Source organism: Homo sapiens, chromosome 5 (assembly GCF_000001405.40).
Source record: "Homo sapiens chromosome 5, GRCh38.p14 Primary Assembly".
NCBI lineage: Eukaryota > Metazoa > Chordata > Mammalia > Primates > Hominidae > Homo > Homo sapiens.
The window spans coordinates 84,221,940-84,246,196 of record NC_000005.10 but is presented as its reverse complement, the minus strand read 5'-3'; the positions used below and the strand labels follow the sequence as shown (position 1 = coordinate 84,246,196).

Here is a 24,257-nt window from a genome sequence, read left to right as displayed (position 1 = left end):
TGCAAGAAGGGGAGGAGTTTGTGGCTAGTTTTACAATCTGCTGTGGAATGTTGCTTCTCTTTTTAATTTTATTTTTGAAGAGTTTTATTGGCAAAGCAACAAGTTGATAAACACATAGGTATGTTTGCAGATATTTCTTTTTACGTTATACACAAATATATGGCCATGATTACACAAATCCTAATCACATTGGCTTTAGCAAAAGCTCTTCAATTATTTTTATAAGGAGTAAAAAGGTAAAATCTCTTAAGGAAAAACTTAGATTTTTTTTTTTTTTTTTTTACATTTTAGAAAAAATTATTGAAAAAATAGGAAGGTGAAAATTGAAGGTAATATCAAATTGCCCTTTTACTCCTAACCTGAAATCACTTGTGGCACAGCCAAAATATATAATTCTATACACTTATGAAAATGAAAATTACAAATTCAAAGTGATAGGCCACAGTGGCAAATTTAGCATTAATCTCTGGAAAGATTTTATCTTCCAGCTTTTCCCTTTCATGGAAAAGCAATCTATAGAAGACTCACAAATCACTTATATGATACTATGTAAAACATGCCAAAAATCTTTACAATCTTTCATTCTGTTACTTGATTTCATCTTCTTCATTGATTTTCAACATGAATCTATTTCTTTATTCTAGGAAATTATACCTATTGTTATTTCCTTTAGATTAAGTTATTTGCACCATAAACTATGGTATCCAAATAAAGCAAGTCATTTAAAAAACATTAACTTTTAAGCAGTTATGACAAGGTGTTGAAATGTTATCATCAGAGAAATTGAGATTTATAATGAAGAGGAAGCTTAATGGACTTATGCTCACTTATTCATAGTAATATAGATTTGGAGTTATTTGATTTGTATAATAGGAAAAGAAAAATACACATGAAGAGAAAAAGAAGAGATTGTTGTCCTATCAAATATATTTTTTAAATAATGTGATTATATCTCCTTTAATTTTCATTCAAACATTTGATTACTGTAGTAGGCCATAAAACATTTAAAAAAGGGTAAACTAGAACTAGGCGTATATAAAGAAGAGTGAAGAGTTTAGTTAATAAAAACTATAAAGAAAGGGACATTCTCTAAAATCAAGACCAATGAGAGAAGGAATAAGCATTTAATCAAAGAAAGCTTAAATCATGTTTTAGAGCATCTACAGCAGCAGTCCCCATCCTCTTTGGTACCAAGGACTGGGTTTCATGAAAGACAATTTTGCCACAGAAGGTGGGTTGGCATTAGATTCTCATAAGGAGCACGCAACCTACATCCCTTGCATATGCAGTTCACAATAGTTTGTGTTCTTATGAGAATTTAATGCTGCTGCTGATCTGACGGGAGGCGGAGCTCATGCAGTGATGCTCTTTCACCTACTGCCTGGTTCATAACAGGCCACGGACTGGTAGGACCCCAATCTAAAGTATGGAACAGGCTTAGGGTAAGTGGACAAAGAAAGCTTAGGGTAAGTGGACAAAGAAAGTAAAGGGCTAACGGATGAATGACACAGCCTTTGTTCTCATCTTTCCTCATACTACTAGTAACACAGAAGATAGAATGAAGACAAAGATATGACACTTTAAGAATTCATTGAAAATAAATGTTTTGGCCTGGAGCAGTGGCTCATGCCTGTAATCCCAGTACTTTGGGAGACCAAGGCGGGCAGTTCACTTGAGTTCAGGGGTTTAAGACCAGCCTGGCCAACATGGTAAAAGCTTTTCTCTACTAAAAATACAAAAAAAAAAAAAAAATAGCCAGGTGTGGTGGTGCACACCTGTAATCCCCGCTACTCAGGAGGCTGAAATGAGAATTGCTTGAACCTGGGAGGCAGAGGTTGCAGTGAGTTGAGATCATGCCACTGTACTCCAACCTGGCAAAAGAGAGAGACTGCTTCAAACTAACTAAATAAGTAAATAAATACATAAGTGTTTTGATAGGTTGGATTAATTTCTTGAAAATTTTACAGACTCCTGCTGTAACATCTAATACAAATCTTATTGGTATCTCCTATGTGCTAGAATCATGCTATTTGATATGAGGAATTACTACAATAAAGCATAAGGGTTACTGAGATGAAATAGAGGCATGGATTCTTTGTTAAAGAGCTTAAAGTAGATGTCATCGTTTCTGGAGTTTTGTTTGGCCACATTCCCCGGAGCCATAGAAAAACTAGGTTACATCTCAAGGTGACTTTGTACTGTAAGACAACTTATTGTTTAACATATATCAAAGTATTTATGTGAAGAAAATTCCATAATCCATATGCTTAAAGTACATGGGTAACAATTTTTAAATGAGTCATATAATGAGAGTAGAATTGGGCTGAATCATTTCCAGATTATATTTAATTTTGGCCTTTGAGAGTATAAAATTAACCAAGCTATGATTTAAAATAGACAACAATCAATATTTATTGTTATCTTCTTTTTATTTTAATCAAGGCCTGGAAAGAAAAATAGGGAGGGCAAAATTTCCATCTCTCAGCCAGAGATAGAACCCAGTAAAGATATTTGTTTTCTTACGTACTAATCCTTGGAAAATATAGCAAATTTCAAATAAGAATTAACACCTTTTTAATACAATGTGTTCATATAACCCCACAATGTCTTTATCTGCTAAGGTTTCATTGTGAAATCAAACCAGAAGTGCTTCATCCAAATCACAGGGAGCCACTGGACACAGAACTCATTATTGTTACTCATCTACACAAGGAGCTACAAACATTTTCAAGAACAAGACACATGCTGTTTGTGTCAACTTAGCTATCTTTTAACCAATGACTTTGGCTCTTCAGGCAATAGATAAATTGGAGTGCATCACAGCACAGCCTCTGGCTTCCAAGGTTAGATTTCATTACTTCTTAAATATGGAGGTCCAGCTGTATTACTTTCCACAATGCTTTCCTGTCCCACAACTACCGTAGTAAAGCTCACTTCTCAATGAGCCCTGCTGGTTATTAGGACATCAGGTGATAAACACTGAAGTGTGTGGGCAGATAGTCTTTGTATGCAGTTTATCGGTCACTGTAATGCCAAAGACAAAGACTTTTTTCCTCACCCTTTTCCCTTTAATTTTGCCTGTATTTTCAGAGTGCACCATTCATTTACACACACACACACACACATAAAATAACCTGAAAATAAACAAGGGAGCTAATATCAATGTCAGTGTTAAACGGGAAGGGGATTCTGTGATAAATGTAATGATTAGACCAAGGTCATTGATTCCTGCTCAGTGGAAGAACAGGTGTTAAACCTACAATTTTGTTCCATGCTTTTTGCACACTGCAGTGCTTGTGTTCAAATTAAGCTGTGCCTGTTACACATATGGGGAGGGTTACTTTCAAACTCGAAGAAATAATAATAATAATATTTCTTTGGAAGTTTTTTTTTTTTTTTTTTTAAGATAGGGTCTCTGTCGCCTATGCTGGAGTGCAATGATGCAATCATGGCTCACTGCAGCCTCAATGTCCGGGGCTCAAGTGATCTTCCCACCTCAGCCTCCCAAGTAGCTGGGACTACAGGTACACTCCACCAAGCCTGGTTAGTTTTTGTACTTTGTGTAGAGACAGGGTTTTGCCATGTCGCCCAGGCTGATCTTGAACTTCTGGGCTCAAGCAATCCGCCCACCTCAGCCTCCCGAAATGTTGAGATTACAGGCATGAGCCACAGCACCTAGCCAAAAATAATACTTCTAATTCCAGTGTTTCTTACATGCTGAGCATGCTCTACTGGAATTCTGTAGTGTGTAAATATCTGAAGGAACACATTCTTTCAAGGACAGCATCATGGGGGTGTGGTTAAGAAGCTAGCCAGGCTGAGTTGAAATCTTGGTACTTCTGTTTGCTAAGTCTGTGACTTTGAGCAAGTTACTTAATCTCTCTCCACCTTACTTTCCTCATCTGTAAAACTGGGGTTAACAGTACCAACTTCAAAGGGTTTTTGTGTAAATTTTTTTTTTTTTTGAGACAGAGTCTCGCTCTGCCGCGCAGGCTGGAGTGCAGTGGCGTGATCTCGGCTCACTGCAAGCTCCGCCTCCCAGGTTCACGCCATTCTCCTGCCTCAGCCTCCCGAGTAGCTGGGACTACAGGCGCCCACCACCACGCCTGGCTAATTTTTTTTTTTTTTTTTTGTACTTTTAGTAGAGACGGGGTTTCACTGTTTTAGCCAGGATGGTCTCGATCTCCTGACTTCGTGATCTGCCCACCTCGGCCTGTCAAAGTGCTGGGATTACAGGCGTGAGCCACCGCGCCCGGCTGCTTTTGTATAAATTAAATGATTCAATATATGTAAGGATCTTAAAACAGTGTCTGGCTCATAAGTGCCACCCAGGAGTTACTAATTAAGTGATATAAATAATTAAACCTTATATACTATTTTAAAGCTACATGCAGAAATCAAACATCTAGGCCTCTGACTATTCTTTCATCATTTTAGTCATTAATAAAATTATTGAAATGTCCAATAAGTACTGACTTATTATTTTTATGTCAGGTTGTTTTTTTTTTTTCCTGTTGGTGCATGAATACACAAACTGGGGGCAATTTAGTTGTCAGCTTTTAATTTTTCAAAAAATTTATTTCCTTCAACATATAATTTGACAAATCACTTCATTTCATATGGGAAAAAGAGAGCCCTATTTTTTATTATATGAAATTTATGAGTAATGTAGGTAAGGCTTGCATAATTAGGAATCAGTCCTTTAGGAATCTAGCCTTCCTTATGCTTAGAGCAAATAAGTTATGAATTGATTTTTTTATTTATAAGATTGCAAAATGGGAATCCTGTAAAGGTATAATAAATACCAAGTTGGAATTTATGATAGCACATTAATATTAGTTTCTTGGATATGATAGATCAACAATAAGCTTTTTGTGGTTTTGCATAAAGATAGAATCATAGGGAAAAAAGAACATTAGGATCTTCCATTTAACAAATGTGTATTGAGCCTTCATGGAGAGCCTGTGATCTACCCTTTCTCTATGACCTGATGATAAAGACTCTGCCTTTTAAATACTTACATTTGAGAAAGGGTAAGACAGGCATATCAGTAATCATTATACAATGCAGAAAATAATTATCATAAGAGGGGAACAAAGTGCTATGGGTATCAAGTGGGGAAAGATCACTTCCTGTCCTAGGAATCAGATTTTATGGTTGTGGTGGCTTTTGTGAGATGAGCTGAGATGGAAATTTATTTAATCTGTAGACATTATGATATTGGAACATTTTAAGCAAATATAGAATGATAAAAAATTAGAAAAACAGGAGACATGGGGAAACTTTCTAGAAGAATTAGCATTAGTGGTTGCTCAGTTTATAAGGTGTTTTAATAGGAGACATGGGGAAACTTTCTAGAAGAATTAGCATTAGTGGTTGCTCAGTTTATAAGGTGTTTATGGGGAGGATTGGGAGCAAGACCAGGAAGGTAATGTGGATCTGTATTCCATAGAGCTGCGGTCCCCAACCTTTTTGGCACCAGGAACCAGTTTCGTGGAAGACAATTTTTTCCATGGACCGGTGGTTGGGGAATAGTTTCAGGATGAAACTGTTCCACCTCAGATCATCAGGCATTAGATTAAGGAGGCCACACCCTAGATAACCCACATAGGCATGCTCACAATAGGGTTCCTGCTCCTATGAGAATCTAATGCTGCTGCTGATCTGAGAGGAGGCGGGGCTCAGGCTCATTTCCTGTTGTGCAGCCGGGTTTCTAACAGGCCAGGGACCCATACCGGTTCATGCCCCATGGAAGTTGGAGACCCTGGATATAGAGCCTCTATTCATCTCCTTGAACCAAAATATAGTCTTCAATGTTATTTCCAAAATTATCCCAGAAATATGACTCTATAACTTCCCTTGATAATATATTATTCAAGTGTGTAATCATAAAAACAAAAGAACACAAAGCTCTTATCTGAACAGCATTTAAGTACTACCTCAGGCTTTTCTTTTGAGGATTACATTGTTTAAATTGTACATTTTTCTATTACAGTTTTATTCTGCCTCCAAGATAAATTTATTTTTTGATTTATTAATTATTTTATTTTTGACAGGACTTGGTCTAATAGGTAGTTGATTTGGAAAGGGCTGAATGTGGCTCATTGACTGAAATTGATGCTAAGTTTTAATCTAGAATTTCTAACCAGAAATTAGTTATTGGAAGAAACAGCTGTAAACTTTTAAAGCTGGTTTCCAGGAGAAACATCTACAACTAGAAATGTCAGTTGACATGGAAAATTTCATGAGAAACTACAAAATATTTATATTCTGCTGGATGGACACTAGTTTTGGACACTAAGGAAATTGTTTCCATTAGAACAAATGTTTGGTTTTCCTGTCTGTGGACTTTAATCAACTACATGTGAAATATATGCAAACTAGATTCTTTGCTAGAGAGAAAGTGAAAGATTGAAAGTATGTCTTTAAGGCTTTTCTTTGTTGCAAAATTTTGCAATTCTTTCCCGTTGCAAAGATACCTTTGACATTGTTTGCATGCCAGTTATATTCTCCCTTGACTCAACCCCAAGCATGACCTCCTCTGACTAATCTTGCCTTTAGGCAGCAAGAAGATAAGATTACCAGTTCCCAGTACTCTAGGAATTGGTCCATAAGATGTAGCTGAAGGTTCCAAGTTTTTGCTATTGTGAATAGTGCCGCAATAAACATACATGTGCTGGCACATGTATACATATGTAACAAACCTGCACATTGTGCATATGTACCCCAGAACTTAAAATATAATTAAAAAAAAAAGATGTAGCTGAAGGAGGGAAGGAAAGGAAATTAATTCTTTACAATGTTGGATTGCTGGTTGTTATAAAGCCGCCTAAACAAGACAGGTAATAACACCATTGTATTTTGTGCTAGTTAGATCACATCTGGAGTACTGTTTCCATTCTCATTACTATATTTTAAAATACGTTATCAAATTTGAGTTTATCAAGAGTAGGTCAACAAAAATGATGACTAGGGTGTATATACCATAATATGTAAAATTAAGTAGGGATATTTATCTCAGTTAAGAAAAGAATTACAATAGCTTTTAAATATTTGAATGACTGGCCTGTCAAAGAATGGGCCTCATTAGTCCATTGTTTTCTAGAGGTGAGCTCTGGGAGAGAGATATGACATGTTCCTTGATGAGATTTTGAGTTCCCTGCCTCTAGAAATTTTGAAAGATATATAGATTTTTTGGTCCGCAGATTGGATCTGTTAGAAGGGTAGAAATTAATAGTTTGCATTCAAGACTTGAAAATATTCTAAAAGATTAGAAAAATGTGGTGTGGGCCCACCCTGAATAGTCCTGCACCTTTATTCAATTTTCATTGCCTTAAAGTTAGGCCTGTCTACTTTTTTATCAGTTGAGTTCTTTAAAGACATCCCAATTAAGGAGAAATTTAGCCTAGGGAGACAAGTTTTGCAGATAAGAAAATTACATTGTCAATGTTATATGATTAACACCCAAATGTGGATACACTATTTTCCTTTCAAGAAGGTCCTAATGATTCTGAAAAAAAAAAAAAAAAAACATTTAATTTTAGCTCCTGTTGTAACAGGAAGAAAAAAAATCCTCTAAAGCAGTCATTAACTCACTGTTACATAAAGGCAGTAGCACATTAGATTAGCTCTACGTAATCAAGCAGAAATTGTGCTTTATTTCTTATGGTTAGTGTCCTTGAGATGAGTTAAAACTACATGAAAAAGATAACTCCCCCTGACCAAAATGACACGTACAGATTTCACGGAAATATCTCATCTTTCTTCAAGTTAGACCTGCCCACTGTTTTTTTTTCTTCCCCCTTCATCTTTTGAATTTCAAAATATATTTTAATTAAGCCAAATGTGTCGATCTATATTTTGGGAACACATCATTTCAAAGCCATTGTAAAATTTCTGAATTATTTTGGAATATAAGCAATGAAAAGGCAATGATATTTTACTAAAAGACCTCACAGATATTAAAATGGTAAAAAGTCATGTTTGAAATAACTGTAACCATATGAAATACTTGGTTGTGACACACACACACATACACACACACACACACCGTTTGCCAAGATTCTACCATGAAGTAATTTTCTATCTTTAAATTCATCACCATTTATTTTTTAAAAGCATTGAAGTTTTATATTATTTATATCTCAGAAGACACAGAATATTCAGTATTCAGCCCTAAGCATCTCTACTGGGGTGGGATGATGGGCAGGGAAACCAGTAATTGGTCTAAGGCTGCATCTGCCAGGCACATGGATCAGTCATTTGTTTGTCTCTGTGTTTTGTGCTATTGGACATCAGACATTGGAAGTTTTACTATATCTCTGTTAATGGTAACTTTATTAAAGCAAGAGAGTAACATTCACAGGAAAATGGCAGAAATATAATATCATCCAATATATTTAAGAAGCATAGTCCTTTTTTTAAAAAATAGGCTGATGGCATCAAAAAGGATGGCATCAAAGAGGATCTTTTAAAAATCTTTCTTACAAAAAGCAAATATTTTACATTGTGTTTAGGATTATGGACTTTATTTAATAAAAGTATTAGATAATTTATTTTCTTTGTTTCTACCATGATTCAAATGAAATCTGATTATTCATTGAAACCTCATTTATAAGACAGAAGTCCTGGAATTCATCCAAGTATTATTCACTAAAGACTTAGTGAAACAAATTATGCCATATCCATTTACTTCAAAATTCTGCTTGTGGTGAATTTTAGTTAGTAATTTAGGTGATTTAATAAATATACTTCTATTTTCTAATGCAAACCTTAACCCATTGTACCAATGGATTTTTTTTTGACAACACTCTTAATCATTAAGTCTTGTCCAGCATTAACATTTTATGTGCAATGATTCTGTGGTTTTCTTAAGTGGATACTGTCACTGAGATTTGTGCCAGTATTGCTGATCAATTCATTACTTTTTAGTTTTCTGTTCTTTTGGTTTTAGCAGATTTGCTTTTTAGATTAGCTCATTTGTCCAGACTTAGGGAAATGAATTGAGGTTGAAGTGAGTAGTCTCCCACACATAAATAAAGCAGAAATCCATAGAACATAAAGGAGCCTGAGAGTATCAGCTTCCTGCTGTCAGGTGCTATGAAACAAAATAACATGGATGCTGTGACCATCTGAAATTCATATCTAGTGAGCTGGTAGCCTCGGCTTCATGGCTTCTCTAGTGACATTAAACAGCATTCTCATTGTAGAATTAATGATTCTCTCTTTCCTGTATTAAATTTTCAAAAAGATTATGAATTTATTAATTTTATTGAAAATGGATAAATCTGAGAAATCATTTATATTAACTTTTGATCTGCTTTATCCCTTACAAGTTTCTTCGTTTTATTTGCCCATGAATTTTCTTAGGTTTAATTTTCAATCCTCATTTTACAAAGCTAAAAAAAAAAAGGGTAAAAACAGTCATTAAATTTACTTTTGGACTTCATTTTCTCAATTTAAAATTGGACAACTTTCCAAAAATATTTACTCAGAACCAATTATATACACTGTGCAAAATTAAAACATTTGCCCTCCAAGGAAGAATAATGTCCAGCTTGGGAAACAAAGCTGGAAAATATTATGTACCATTCTGTTTAGAACTGGCTTTCGGTTATAGTTTAAAAGGTAGTGGGGTTAGAAGGGAATATCTGGAGACTGAAATAAATACTAAGGAGTTGAAGGTGGTGAAACTTGAATTCAGTCGACAAGGATGGTTTGGGTTTGGATAGGGAGGAAGGGCACATTTAATAAACAAAGGATATTTAAGGACAATTGAATAGATACACCAAAATATTGAATTGTAAGTCCCCTTATTATATCAAATCACCTAACTTAAAGATATTTACTACTTCCTTTAAGTAAGAGAATTTGTCCTAATTATGTTCTCAAAGACTAATAACAGCTGGGATATGAATGTAGGCTATTTGAGTCATATTACTTTCCAGCTTCCCAGTACTCTGGCTTACTTTTATAAAATACGTGTTTTTGTTCAGTTTAGTTTTAGTTTTCTTACTCAGTGGCAAAAATTGAACCCAAAGCTTGCATTCTTTTTTGTTATTTTTCTCATTTATACCTCTTTCTAAAATGAGAGAATCACAAATGCACTGGTAATTGCTGTTAAAATGATTCACTGTATAAATACATTGTAAAACCCATGTAAACTATATCACCACTAAACATTAAAAGTACATTTTGTGGTTCTGTTTAAATGAATCTACTTAATTAATAAATCATAGTTTCATGTTTTCTGAGTTAGTTTAAAAATCACAGATTTAATTTTTCATGAGATAATCTAATGGTCTTTAGAGCAACCATTGTCTTTATAATAATTATATTGTTTCCTTCCTACCCCAAGAAGGAAAATCTGATTTATATAATGACATATAGCTATAGAAACTATATATAATTATGTATATATTTATATGATGAAACATATACAGAGATGTAAGGCTTTCTTTGATTAATTTAATAATATTACAAAATGAAGCAGCTGAGCTTTATTTAATACAAATGACTGTATTAAACATTTGTGTATCTTTTCTTTCAACAAATATTTATTCAGTTCCTCCAGTGTTCCAGACACTGTTTTGAAAACTACGGATGTAATGGTGAGCAAAAAAATGCTACAGCCCTGTCCTCATGAAACTCTTAGTCTAATGGGAGAGACTAATAAAAATTCAATATATGTTTACATGCTAACTACATGTGTACAAAATTATGTTTTATGTGTTATATATTATCAATACTTCAATGGATGCCATTCTCCAAATTTTGCACAGGAATCACAATGCATGTAAAATGTTGATAGAATGGAAACATTTTGATTATTCAAGCATTTTCTATGCAAATCCAATGCTGTGCCTCACAGTGACCCAAATACTCTGCAGTTCTGAGATTGTGGAGTTGACCACATCATATGCTGTCTGAAATATTTGGCCAGAGGAAACTAATCATCTTTGTTATACTTTTCACAGGGAAGAAGTTAGTAATAGCAACCTTTAAGTACAAAGTCATATCCCAGTTGGGCCATTGGCCAAGGACAACAGATAAACAAATAATAAAACAAAAACCAAATTAACCCAAACCTCTCTCTCAGTACTTCTATGGATACGTCCGCAGGCAACTCCATATCCTTCTTTAATGACTGAGTTCACAAATTTAAATAATAGTTTACTCTAATTTTAGTAATGCCTCTGCTTCCCTCAACACACAAACATACACACACATGTAGAGCACTTGACATCTGGGTAGGCATAAATAATCAAGCATAAATATCATGATTGCTATTTTTGCATCACTGCAGTTGAATAAAACATTGTAAAATATTGTCAGAATACAATAATACATAGTTCTTGTTATGGAAATAACTAATGACTAGATAATTATATGCTTGAAAACATATTTGGTACATGCTTAACCAAATTTATGATATAGCCAACAAAAGGATCAATAAGTCACTCTGAATTAACATTCACATGTAAAATATGTTATAATATACTAAGAAATGTAGTTTTTATATTTCATAATGAGATTTTCCTATTTGATGGTAAGCCACACTGGGTGTAAAATTGTTTTTAATGGGTATAATTTCCAAGTTATAAAAGTTTACTTAAAACACTCAAAAATGAAACAGACAAAAACAGAATATGTAAGAATTGTTGAAACCACACAAAGAGACTGGAATCTGTCTAATGAATAAACTTAAGTGTTATAGTATCGTGTTGTATCAGGGTAATATACGGCCCACTGGGCCTGGGTAGTTGTACTTCACAGTTGATACTTGTGGGGAAAAAGAGAAAGAGAGTGAGGAAGAAAGGAAGGAAGTCAAGGAGAGTCTGTATGATGCCTTCCTGTCCTCCCAAGTACCACCACACTTCAGGAACATGGGAACATGTACACTGGTGGAATGTCCTGCAAAAGAGCGACTAACTTAAAAATCAAGGAATAGGTTTATTGTATCAAAGCATGGTGGTAAGCTCCCTGGAAAAATAAAGCACTGAAATCTCAGCTGCCCACTGAATGCATAGCCTGAGGCTGTGTGTACTTCTGGTCTCAGCTGCCTCAGATAATTAATTTCTTATGCATTCTAATATTTTTAAAAGGAACAACAAAACTGATTAGGATTGTAGCAGATTGCCATTTAGATGTAAATAACAAAAAGCTCAACTCAAATAATACACAGTATGTATTTTCCCTAGAACTAGAAGTCCAAAGAAAGGTCAGGATTCATGGTTGATATGATTCAGTGGCTCAACAATCTCATCAAGATTCTAAAATCTTTGTTTCTGCACTCTGCCTTTGAGCAGGATCAGCTTTCTTCCAGATCTGTCTCCCATCATGGTTGCAAGGTGCATGCCAATGACTTCTGGGGCCACAAGCCTCTGTGTCTACATCTAAAGGAGAGTGAGAAGGGGTTATTTCCAGACACTTTCTGAGAAGAGTGAGGAGGCCTTTTTTTTCCAAGAGCCTCTCCCCACCTAAATACACACAAATATCTCCTTACATATCCTTGTCCCCAAATGGGTCACATGCCTATATCTAGGCCAATAACTGTGGCCAAGAAAAGGGAACAGATTTAGTTAGTTCTGAGATACAGACCATTTATTAAATCCAAAGGGGATGTCATCTTTCCCTAAAGCATTGATATAGATACCCAATGAAATCTGAAGATGATACAAGAAAACAGTGTTGAAATCTCGTGAAACAACCGGAATATAAATTGCAAAGGGTTTTCTGTAAGCCTACTAATTTACTGCTGTGGTTCCAACAATGGTACCCATGGCTGTTTCCCAGTGAAATAAACTTTGATGGGTTAGAGTCAGAATTCTCAATATTTAGTGTTCGTGGCGATTATCTACAGAACTTATAAAAAATGCAGAAGCCTGGGCTAAAACCCAATATTCAAATTCAGTAGGTGTGGGGCATTTTAACAGACACCCAGGAAGATTCTGTTATGGGTGATAGGAGGATTACACTTACTTAAATTCTATATGTCTGATATATTTTTTTACCTCTGTTTTCCTACCATCATTATAATTTCAGTACATTCTTCTAAATGCTGACCAAGTGGAGCAATACACTTATTTGTTGGGTTGCTTATTTTTGGTTTTCTTGGTGAATGTGTTTAAATTCCCAGAATTAGAAGAGACTACATGTGCCATAGACTCTGATTTTTATTTTAATTGCTGATTTTATGACTTCTGAGAGGAAGAGAGAATAATCATTTGGGTAGCATGATAGTACCTTCTGTGATACTTGTTTCGCAGAAATGTCATTAATAAGGCAACTAATGCCCACTTTGAGGTTTATTTTTACTCTGGGGCTCTAGTTGCCACCTGTTAATAGTTGATGATGTTTTGTTCAGTAAAGCAGTTAGCCTGAAATGCTGCCTTTGTTACAGAGATAACTAAAGCTGGATTATTACCAATAGTAACCCTTGTGTATATGCCTTCATGAGTGTGAATAGTATGAATATTGGTTAATGACATCTACCCATATCAAGGAAGCACTGCTATGTAGATGTTACATAGAGAAATCTTTGCAAAGTTGTGTATTTGCTGGCTGTAATTCTGTTAATTTGTAACAAAGATACTTTCAGGTATTGCAAATTCAAGTGTAGATTGGTGCACAGCTTGCCCTGTGGGATTTGCTTTTTCAAAGGTTCTGATTACTATGACTCTTACTAAATTTGGAATTGTCTTCATTTCTGTACTTGCTAATTCCTTCCTAAAATTTCTTGCTTGTTCTTACATAATGGAAAAGTAAAATCTTAGCAACTTCCAGTCTTCCTTCTTAGACATCACTTCTTTAGGGTGCTTTGTTTAACCAGTCAGGATCTCAGCTGCCTATGTCTGTCCCTGGATTGTAAGGGAAATGGAGAAGCTTCCAAAGAACTCCATTTCTTGAAAGGATTTCTCTCCTCAGCCTCTGTATCAATTTTTCTTTCTTTTCTCCCCCAGTTTTATGCTTAAGTCCAGCTAACATTATTAGGAGCATAACTACTCCCATGACCCAACACTTTAAATAGTACCTAGTGAATTTCGGTAAACTCTGCCGTCTAGTTTTTATCTTTAAGTAGAAACGGAATCAGCACTTTGTGATACAATAAGGCACAGCAGAAGAAGTTCAGTTTTAAAGTCACACTGACATGAGCTCAAATTCAAATTGAACTCACACAGATTGTTCAGTCACTCTGAACCTCTGTACTTTCTTTTATCAAATGAGAAATATTTTCATCTCATTGGTTGCTTTGTGAATTAAATGAGTTCATACACATAAAGTGACCAGCCATAAGTGTAAGGATTTTTTTTCTTTTGAATCTCTAGATTTTGTTAACAATAACTCATCTAAGTCAGCACTTCTGCAAGCCCCTGTGGTATTTTCCTAAAAGGGAATTCCTGGAAGCTACCATTTTTTTTCCTCTTTGAACATGTTATGATATATTTTGGACATGATAAAGCGGCAAACAGCTTTTAAAATATTTATGTTCTCTGCGCCATGCATGCCAACTGTGTTTGCTCTCTCCATTTCTTTATGTGCCAAGGAGGCGAGCCAAACAGTGTGAGAAGAAAACACTGTCAGGACACAAAGTCAGCTTGTCTAATGTGTACTCTGCGCAGATGTAACCTTAACGGAAAAGAGTGGAGACCACTCCCTGGCTACACAGTGATACCTTGATTAACGAATCCGCTGGGAACAAAGTTCCTTTATAAGCAATTCAGCTGAGTAAATTTTTATTTTAAAACTTCATGAATCAAGTGAAATAGGACTGGCTTGTGTCATATAATTCAACGGTAATATTCTGGGTAAACTGCAGTTCTGTACAGAGCAGAAATACTTCTTCACAGAGTGTGTGTTGAAGTATAAAAGTGAATAGATGGATTCTAGGCAAAATTGTGAAGCTGCTTCAGACAAACTTCTTTTTCACTCTTGTAATTGCTGTGCTCCATCCTCCACATACACAGGGCAGTAGGTTATTGCCCTTGGAATCTTGCTGCTCTCAAACCTTCCTACCTCTTAAAACAGGAATCAACAAGATTCACACTTGTATGAGTTACAGTTAATGTTATCTTACATTGATATTGCCTAGTAATACCTCAATCCTGGCTACAAGTTAATACCATGTAAAGATTCTGACTTAATTGGTTCTATGTGGAGCCCAGAATTTGGAATTCTAATATACTTACAGGGTTGGTAACCACTACCCAAGGATAAAATTGTATTTTCGTATTGTGGCCTCCTCTTTTATAATGTCTATGTGTATCCATATGTGGGTTGCAGAACATAAGTCAGAACCACCTGGGGTCACTCTTTAAAATGCAGGTTCCGGTGTCCTTACCACAGAATCATCACTACTAAATTTTGAAGTGTGTGGTATATGTAAGTGTGTGTATGTCACACACACACACACACACACACACACACACACACATCACGTAGTGGGAGAGAGAGAGAGAGAACTGGAATCTTCATGTTTAAGAAAAGTCCAGGCCGGGTTCGGTGGCTCATGCCTGTAATCCCAGCACTTTGGGAGGCCCAGGCAGGCGGATCACCTGAGGTCAGGAGTTCAAGACCAGCCTGACCAACATGGAGAAACTCCATCTCTACTAAAAGTACAACATTAGCCAGGTGTGGTGGTACATGCCTGTAATCCCAGCTACTCAGGAGGCTGAGACAGGAGAATTGCTTGAACCCAGGAGGCGGAGGTTGCAGTGAGCCGAGATTGTGCCATTGCACTCCAGCCTGGGCAACAAGAGTGAAACTCCATCTAAAAAAAAAAAAAAAGAAAAGTCCAAAGTGATTTTGAGTCACCCTGAAGTTTAATTCTTCCTTTCTTATAACTTCTATCTCATGGAACACAATTTTTGACCATCAGCCATGACTTTTAATTCCTCTTTGCCAAATAGAAAATTGATGGTGGGGTAGCTCTATGTTATATACAATCCATATTTTTCAGCAGCAATATTTATAATAATTTATACTCAAATTAACTAAGGTTAATCTTATTTGCAAAGGAAAATCAAATTCAGACAATTCAATTTTTTTCTAACAAATATTAATAGATATTTTAAAGTATAGGAGCACATATGTTTTTATTTAATGTGAATACTCATTAATCTGTTATTAAATCATGACAATTTTCTAATGTATACACAAAATTACAAGTCAGGGGCTTGTAGTTAGTGTTTGGAAATGTGAAATATATTTATGTTCAATCTCAATATCTCTTTTTCTCTTTCTTTCTCTCTCCCCCCTTCTCCCTCCCTTCACTTCTACCCCACCCCCATTTCACCTTTTCCTCTTATCATAGCATCAGATGAAGAAGAACCAACTTCAGCAGGTAAAGTTCCTATGTTGTAAACATAATTCTTATTTAATGTCATGCCTTTAATAATAGAGAGTCAACCTTTTGAGTAATATTTTTTCAGATTTCAACCAGAAAATTGGCACAGGTTTGTTTATTTATTTACTTTTATATTTGCTGAGCTCACTATGCTGTGCCAGACTAAATGATGTTGGTTAAGAGTTTTGAATAAAAGGAGAAAAGTCTTGAAACGAACTAATACAGAGGAAAATACAATACAAAATAGCACATTGACATTAAAGAATAAGGAAAATTGGAAAATGAGAACATTGAGAAAAATACAGAAAAATAATACAGTGAGGAGAATGAATGATAAAATTAAGATTAAAAAGGAGGAAAATGGTAAAATAAACTTTCAGAAATACCTTTCATGAGAGCATACAGCACTATCACATGTATAACTAGCATCAAACATCATATTCACTAGGCTTAAGGGTACTGTGTCTGCCTCACTCATTTTATTTTAAAAATGTAATTTTTACAATTATAATTTAATAATCCTGCAACTTGGCATCATGACTTAGTTCCTTATCCAGCTAATTAGTATTTATCAAACACAGGCTGTGGCCTGAACCATGTGCAATGAAGAATGCAAATGTTAGAGATGGCATGGTATTTTCCACATGGTTCCAGGACAGTGAGAGAGGTCAGAGAAATGCCAGAGAGACTAAAGACCAGACACAATTATAAGAATATAATGGGAAGAAAAAGCTCACTTGATTAATTAATAAAAGACCAGACTAACATACCAGCAACATCAGAAAAAAAAATAGAGTCAAGTCCTGAGAGGTAGGCAGTTAGTGGTTGGTCTGAAGAGAAAAGACCTCGGCATTAGATGGATTCTTTTTAGTAACTGAGAAAAGGATTTAGGCCTGAGAGACAAGAGCAGGAAAGGGCTCCTGAAATTAATGGTCAGAATGGTGCTTGCTTATATGGAAGGAGGGAAAGTAGCCCAGTTATTGAAACTCATATACAAGATAGGGTCAGTTCAATTCATAGGCCTGACTTACTTCAACTAGCCTGGCTTCATGGCTTCTATCTCTGTGCAAAACTGGACAAGGATTTTACCTGTAGGAGTAAATTCAAAAGATCAAAGTTTCAGTGGAAGAAAACAAAATAAATATCTTACATTTCTTTGATAAATTCCAAGGATATATAAATGTCATGTTGCATGATACTCATTATAACTATAAACTGCCTTTGAAATGGAATCAGACATTCAGACAAACCCTCAATTGATGTTTCATTTTCATAATATTGTTAGATAGTCTATAGCCTGATTAGGATAGGAACTCCTATCATATTTCTCCCACTCTAGGCAGTATTGTGTAGCCTGTTTTAGGACCAGCCTAATCACATGACTCAATAGCAAACTCATCTGTTTGTGAGTTTCCTCTGCCTAGTTTCTGCTTTCTGTTTGCCCTGACTTTGAAGCTTTGCTGTTGATAGTGTTGCCCAAAGACTCTGTCTGTATGTCTGTCTATTGTGGTGTATTTTTTCTATACAGACAACCCATATACTTGACACATAATTCAAGCAATACAGAAGGGTTTGTGGTTAAAAGTAAGGTTGCTATCTCTTTTTACCCCTAGTCTCTTAGTTCTCTTCCTGAGAAGCAACCCCTGTTAACTTTTTTTTTGAGGCCTCTTCCAGAAAAACTCCAGGCCTGTGTTGTCCAATAGGGCAGCCACTAGCTACATGGGCTATTGAACACTCCACTATTCCAAATTGAAATGTAATGTAAGTATAAAATACACACTGGATTTCTTTATTATTCTTAATTTAACTTTTACTTTAGTTACAGGGGGCACATGTGCAGGTTGGTTACATGGGTATATTGCATCCAGGTAGGGAGGATAGTATCCAATAGGTAGATTTTCAACCTACACCCTCTTCCTCTCCTCCACTCTCTAGTAGTCTGCAGTGTTTATTGTTCCCAGGTTTACATCCATGTGTGCTCAATGTTTAGCTACCACTTGTAAGTGAGAATGTGTAGTATTTAGTATTCTGATCCTGCATTAATTTTTGAATCATGGCCTCCAGCTCCATCCATGTTGCTAAGAGGCATATAATTTCATTCTTTTTCATGACTGTATATTATTCTGTAGTTTATATGTACTACATTTTCTTTATCCAATCCACCATTAGCACATAATTTGATTCCATGTTTTTGCTATTGTGAATAGTGCAGCAATGAACTTATGAGTGCATGTGTCTTGTTGGTATAATGATCTGTCTTCCTTTGAGTACATACCCAGTAATGGGATTGCTGGATCTTACAGTAGCTCTGTTTTAAGTTCTTTGGGAAATCTCCAAACTGCCTTCTATAGTGGCTGAACTAGTTTACATTCCCACCAACAGTGAGTAAGTGTTCCCTTTTCTCCACAGCCTTGCCAGCATCTGTTGTTTTTTGATTTTTTAATAGTATCTGACTGGTGTGAGATGGTATCTCATTGTGGTTTTTGATTTGAATTTCTCTGTTAAGTGATGATGAGCATTTTTTTCACATGCTTGTTGGCTTCTTGTATATCTTCTTTTGATAAGTGTCTGTCCATGTCCTTTGCCCAATTTTTACTGGGGTTGTTTTTTTCCTTGTTGATTTAAGTTCCTTATAGATTCTGGATGTTAGACTTCTCTGGCTAGGACTTCTTCTGTCCATATTTCTTAACTTTAATTGGACTTTCTCTCTGGGTGTCAATCCTTGACAGCAGCCATCATTTTCTAGCCCAATTCATTTTCATTTCTCCTGTCTGCTGCCCACACCTTACTAAGTCATCTGCCAAGCAGTGTTGGTGCTTTAGCAAAATTATTGTTTTGTACGAAGAAAATGAATTGTAACCCAGTGTATGCTATATTTAAGTATAATATAGCTACTTGTGTACTTTTCTTATTCTAAATCTATTTTCATAACTTCTCTCCTCACTAAGAAGGCCTTTTTGTGAAATGCAACTGAACATTTTTTCTTCAAAATACTCATCTTCCTCCAGAGTGATGTGCACATCATAGAATTTAAATTATGTTTTAAAAATACTTTCATTTCTAGATATGAGCAGATGTTTTTGTTGTGATTTTAGCATAGATTTTTAAAATAGAACAAATGTGCTCTTAAGGAATATTTAGCTACATAATTTCACATATGGATTATATTAACATTGAGAAAATGTGTCATTTAGTAAAGTAGACACTCCTTTTGTATAAAAAGCAGACAATGGGAAACAAATGTTTTCCTTTTAATTTTATCAACCTATATAATAAAAAGAGTAAATTAAAACATTTGGCAAAATATTATCAGATTTGCAAATAATTGATTTCATAAGGAATACGAATAATTATGAAAATTGGATTGAGATTTTTGAGTTCATTTTAGTATCTCTTGCCCTGAATTTTTCAACACTTAATTTTTTAAAGGAATAGTTATTATCCTGTTCACTTATATTTTTCAGTAATCATATATATCAGATATATATCTTTAATTTATAGCTGTTATTCATGTTTGTTTATTACAGCATTAATATTCTGTTTTCACTCTCATCTCCTTTCACCAATAGAATTGATGCAGAATGGTATTTTCCAAGCTGAGATTTATTTTTGTGGTCCTCTTTTAACTTATGTCTCTTTCCTGTTATTTCACCATTTTGTTTCAGTTATCAGTGAAATGAAATCTTTTGTTTGCCAGAAAAAAATGTACGTTAATTCAGCTTTCACATATCCCCATATAATATCTTTACCAGGTTCATACTCTTCCAGATTGGACAGTGTCTTCTTCAAATATATATGTTAATTTCTTTAAATTAAATATTTATTTTTCTAATTGGAGATAAGCCACTTCTCAAAGTAAAGTAATAGAATAAATAATACAATAAATAGCGTTTTTTACTGCCAAAAATCACAGCATCCTGATTAATAGTTGTTAATGTATGAATTTTGAATTTTAAAAGCATAATTTTTTGAACAAATCTATACATGACTTATCTAAAAATGTAAGTTCCTAGTGGATATTACCACTCATACTATTTAGTAAACATTTTTAATGTATTGATATTGTATGACAAATCTAGGTTGTTTTAATTCTATAGGCACACAGAGTTGGGTCGATTATAATTCAATAGTTATGATCTATTCTCATTGTTTAGAACTATTTTTAAAGTAAATAATAGATGTTTATCTTCAATAACATATAGAATGAAAAAAATCAGGAAGACAAATAATAAACGAGAAAATTAGGGAGACATTAGATAGTGTTTTACTTGTGTTATAATGCTACAAAATAATATGGATTTTTTTCTTTACAATGGAATACAATTGATTTGCCTTATATTTTGAATTATTGAAAAACTGCCTCGTTAAAACAGATAAGTGATCCCTCCACTTTGTTCCCATGTAACTGAGATTATATTTAATAAAATAAATGTCAGAATGAAAATATTCTTATACTTTAGACAATCACATTCTGTCTTTGGTTATTTCTTCATACGTACCCACATTCTTTTATTCGAACTTCTAAATTGCCTTGCAAATAGCAAGTTCTTAATAAGTGTTTTAAAATGTTGACTCGTAGAGGGGATGCATGATACATCTTATCTGCATTTCTAATAGTAGGCATGCATCCCCTTATTGATTGGGAAGCATTGGCTTGTTAATCACTTTCAGTTCTGAATGTTCTGGTAGGATGTATTAGCCTAAAAGACCATATTTCATAACATCTGAGTTATCAGGGTAGATTCAGTTAACACCTGCTTCTTTAGCTACCAGAAGCTTCTTTTTATTTATCCTACTTGAATCTTAAATTCAGATATTTAAACATCTTGTTTTATTGAGTATAAAAACACATCAATGAACTATAGAGAAATTTCTTCAAGCTGAGTTATATTTTAAGATCTAATTACAAACTAATGAGATTCACATTTTTAAAGCAGATACTGTACCCCAAAATGAATCACTTTTAGAAGTGATATATTTAATCTAAGTATGTTGATATTGCACAAATAATTTTTGGAAACTATTTTTTTGAAACTTCCTTCTGAATCTGCTTATGGGATTACAATATAAACTATTATAGTCTCTGAACTGTGCTACTATATTTATCTGACTTTGGTCTAATATATATGCCTTTAAAAACAAAGCTTTGCAAATATGAAGAATGTGAGGGGGTATGAAATACAGATAAGATTACAACTTTGAAATTAACAACATTCACCTGAACATATGATATGTATTTTTGAAAGGTAAAATCAAATAACACCTTTTAACAAAGTTGTCAGTGATTGCTTTCCTTATGTTGCACAAATCCAATTTTCATTTAGCTTTTATTTAAGTTTCATAATAGATACTTCATAAACTGACTATAACAATACTTATTTCTATGTCCCTTGGAAAAAAAAGACATATAAATTTGAATATTGACTGCTAAAAATAAACTAATCCATATAAAATATAATTTAACTATAAGGTGTAGCAAATCAAGTTTATTCTCACAATTTCCTCATTGCTTTTAGTTTATTTGGTCTTATTAGCTATAATTTTAGATATTTAGAAATATTCATTTATCACAAGGAAATCATTCATTCATTCCTCAAGGAAATCATTTAATACAGGGCTGGGAATCTGAAATTAGTGGATGGGACCAAAATCACTTAGAAAATGATACAGTAGAGATCTTGCAGCTATACAATAAGTCGCTGGTTAAAATGAACTACAACCGTAACTTATTGTTTTGTTCATATCACCTCAAATATAAAGCTTTCATTTTATTTTTTCCTTCTCTTGCCTAAGAGGAGGTTTTTAATTACTTTGTCATTTTTTTTAATACTACAAGTGGAACTGAGTTTGGATTTCTATATAAGTAGCTATTAATATTAGATTAACTCATATAATAATGAAAATATTAAAAAGGGATTTTTCAGATATATGTAAATGGTAAAAATATTTTGTTCTTTTTTGTATAAATTTAAGGTATACAATGTGATGTGTTAAATACATATATATAGTAAAATGATTACTATAGTCAGATAGATTTACATATCCATCACCTCATATTGTTATCTTCATGTGTGTGGTAAGAGCACTGACAATCTACTCTCTCAGCAAATTTCTATTACGTAATACAATATTATTGCCATAGTACTCATACTGTACATTAGATCTCCAGGCTTATTCATCCTACATAAGAACTTTGTACCATTTGACTTATATTTCCCCCATTCCTTACACCCACCCCAGTAACCACTATTCTGCTCTATTTCTATGTATTCAAATTTTATTGTTTTAGATTTCATATGTAAGTGAGATCATTCAGTATTCTTCTTTCTGTGTCTGGCTTTTTAAACTTTGCATAATTCCTCCGGGTTCATCCACATTGTCACAAATGACAGAATCTCCTTCTTTTATAAGGCTTAATAATATTCCATTATATAAGTTTCTTATCTATTAATTAATCAATGGACACTCAGGTTGATTAAAAGTTGGTTCCTGTAAATAATGCTGCAGTGAACATGGGAGTGCAGATATCTGTATGATATTATTTCATCTGGGCATATACTGAAAAGAGGGGTTGCTAGGTCATATAGTTATTAGACTTTTAATTTTTTTTGAGGAACTTCCATACTATTTTCCATAATGGCTGCACCAGATTACATTCCCACAAAGAGTGTTCAAAGATTCCCTGGACCTTGTCTTATATAACATATAAAAATGAACTCAAAATAGATTGAAAACTTAAACATAAGCTCTGAAACCATAAAACTCCTAGAAGAAAAAAATGTAGAGGAATACCCCCTTGACTATGATTTTTTGGATGTCACAGCAAAAGCTCAGGTATCAAAAGCAAAAATAAACAAGTGGGGCCACATCAGTCTAAAAAGCTTCTGCACAACAAAGGAAACAATCAAGAAAATGAAATGATGGCCTGCAGATTGTGAGAAGATATTTGCCAACCATAAATCTTGTAAGGGATTAATATCCGAAATATATAGGTAACTCATATGAGTCAATCGCAAATAGTTAAATAAACCAATTAAAGAGAGGGCAAAGATCCTGAATAGACATTTCTCTAGAAGACATGAGAATGGCGAATAGATGTATGATAAGGTGCTCAACATCACTGAGTGAAATTCCAATGAAAACCATAATGAGATGGCATCTCACACATGTTAGGATATCAAAAAGATAATCCTTTTGACAATCATATTAAAACATCAAAATACAAAAGCCATACTGTTCTTCATATATTTATAAAGTTAAAATTATTGTAATTTACTTAAATGTAAAGCTGTGTATGTGACCTCTTATCAGTTGATTCCAACTGGTAGTGATGATAGAGGTCACTGGACATATAGCTTATAAAATATTTATTATGAACTCTGTGATGTCCATAGAGAAGAAGAAAATGGTGATTTGGCTTACCAATGCATCCATACATTCACCAGTTCCCTTTAAATCTTTTAATATTTTAATCATTTACATTACTAGCTTTGACATTGAAGAAGTACACCTAAGAAAAATACTATTTTCATATACAAAGGTTAATAATAGAATATGGGCTAGCAGTAGTAAAGAGTTGAAGCTGTGGTTTTATATTAGCAAGTTAAAAGTCATTCATAAAACAAATATGTATTTTGTGTATACATACAGGAAACAGAGTAATTAGATATTTTCTCTAGCTTTTGAAATATTTAATTTTAGTTACACAAAAACATCATTTCTGTTTATGGTGAATTTTTTATTTTCTTACCCATGCTACAGATATCTTTTAGATTTCTTTCTTGTTTTCTTGTGGAGTTTAATTCTGCATGGCTGACTATGCTCAATTTATTCTATAACTCACGCATTTTGAAAATAAATGATATTTTATCACATTATTTTCTAATGAACAAGGGTTGGTTGTGCATTCTGA

At 34.1% G+C, this 24,257-nt stretch overlaps 1 protein-coding gene across 2 annotated transcripts in view; it reads left to right on the top strand.

The window, feature by feature from the left end:
- The window catches only part of EDIL3 (EGF like repeats and discoidin domains 3), a 444,327-nt gene that overhangs the window by 138,684 nt on the left and 281,386 nt on the right, over nucleotides 1–24,257 (top strand). The window contains exon 3 of one of the 2 annotated variants that reach the window (NM_005711.5): nucleotides 16,313–16,342. The exons of the other annotated variant lie outside the window; for it this stretch is intronic. Within the exon in view, the coding sequence (NP_005702.3) occupies nucleotides 16,313–16,342 (30 nt within the window). The remainder of the gene's footprint in view (nucleotides 1–16,312; nucleotides 16,343–24,257) is intronic. 2 annotated transcript variants of the gene reach the window in all.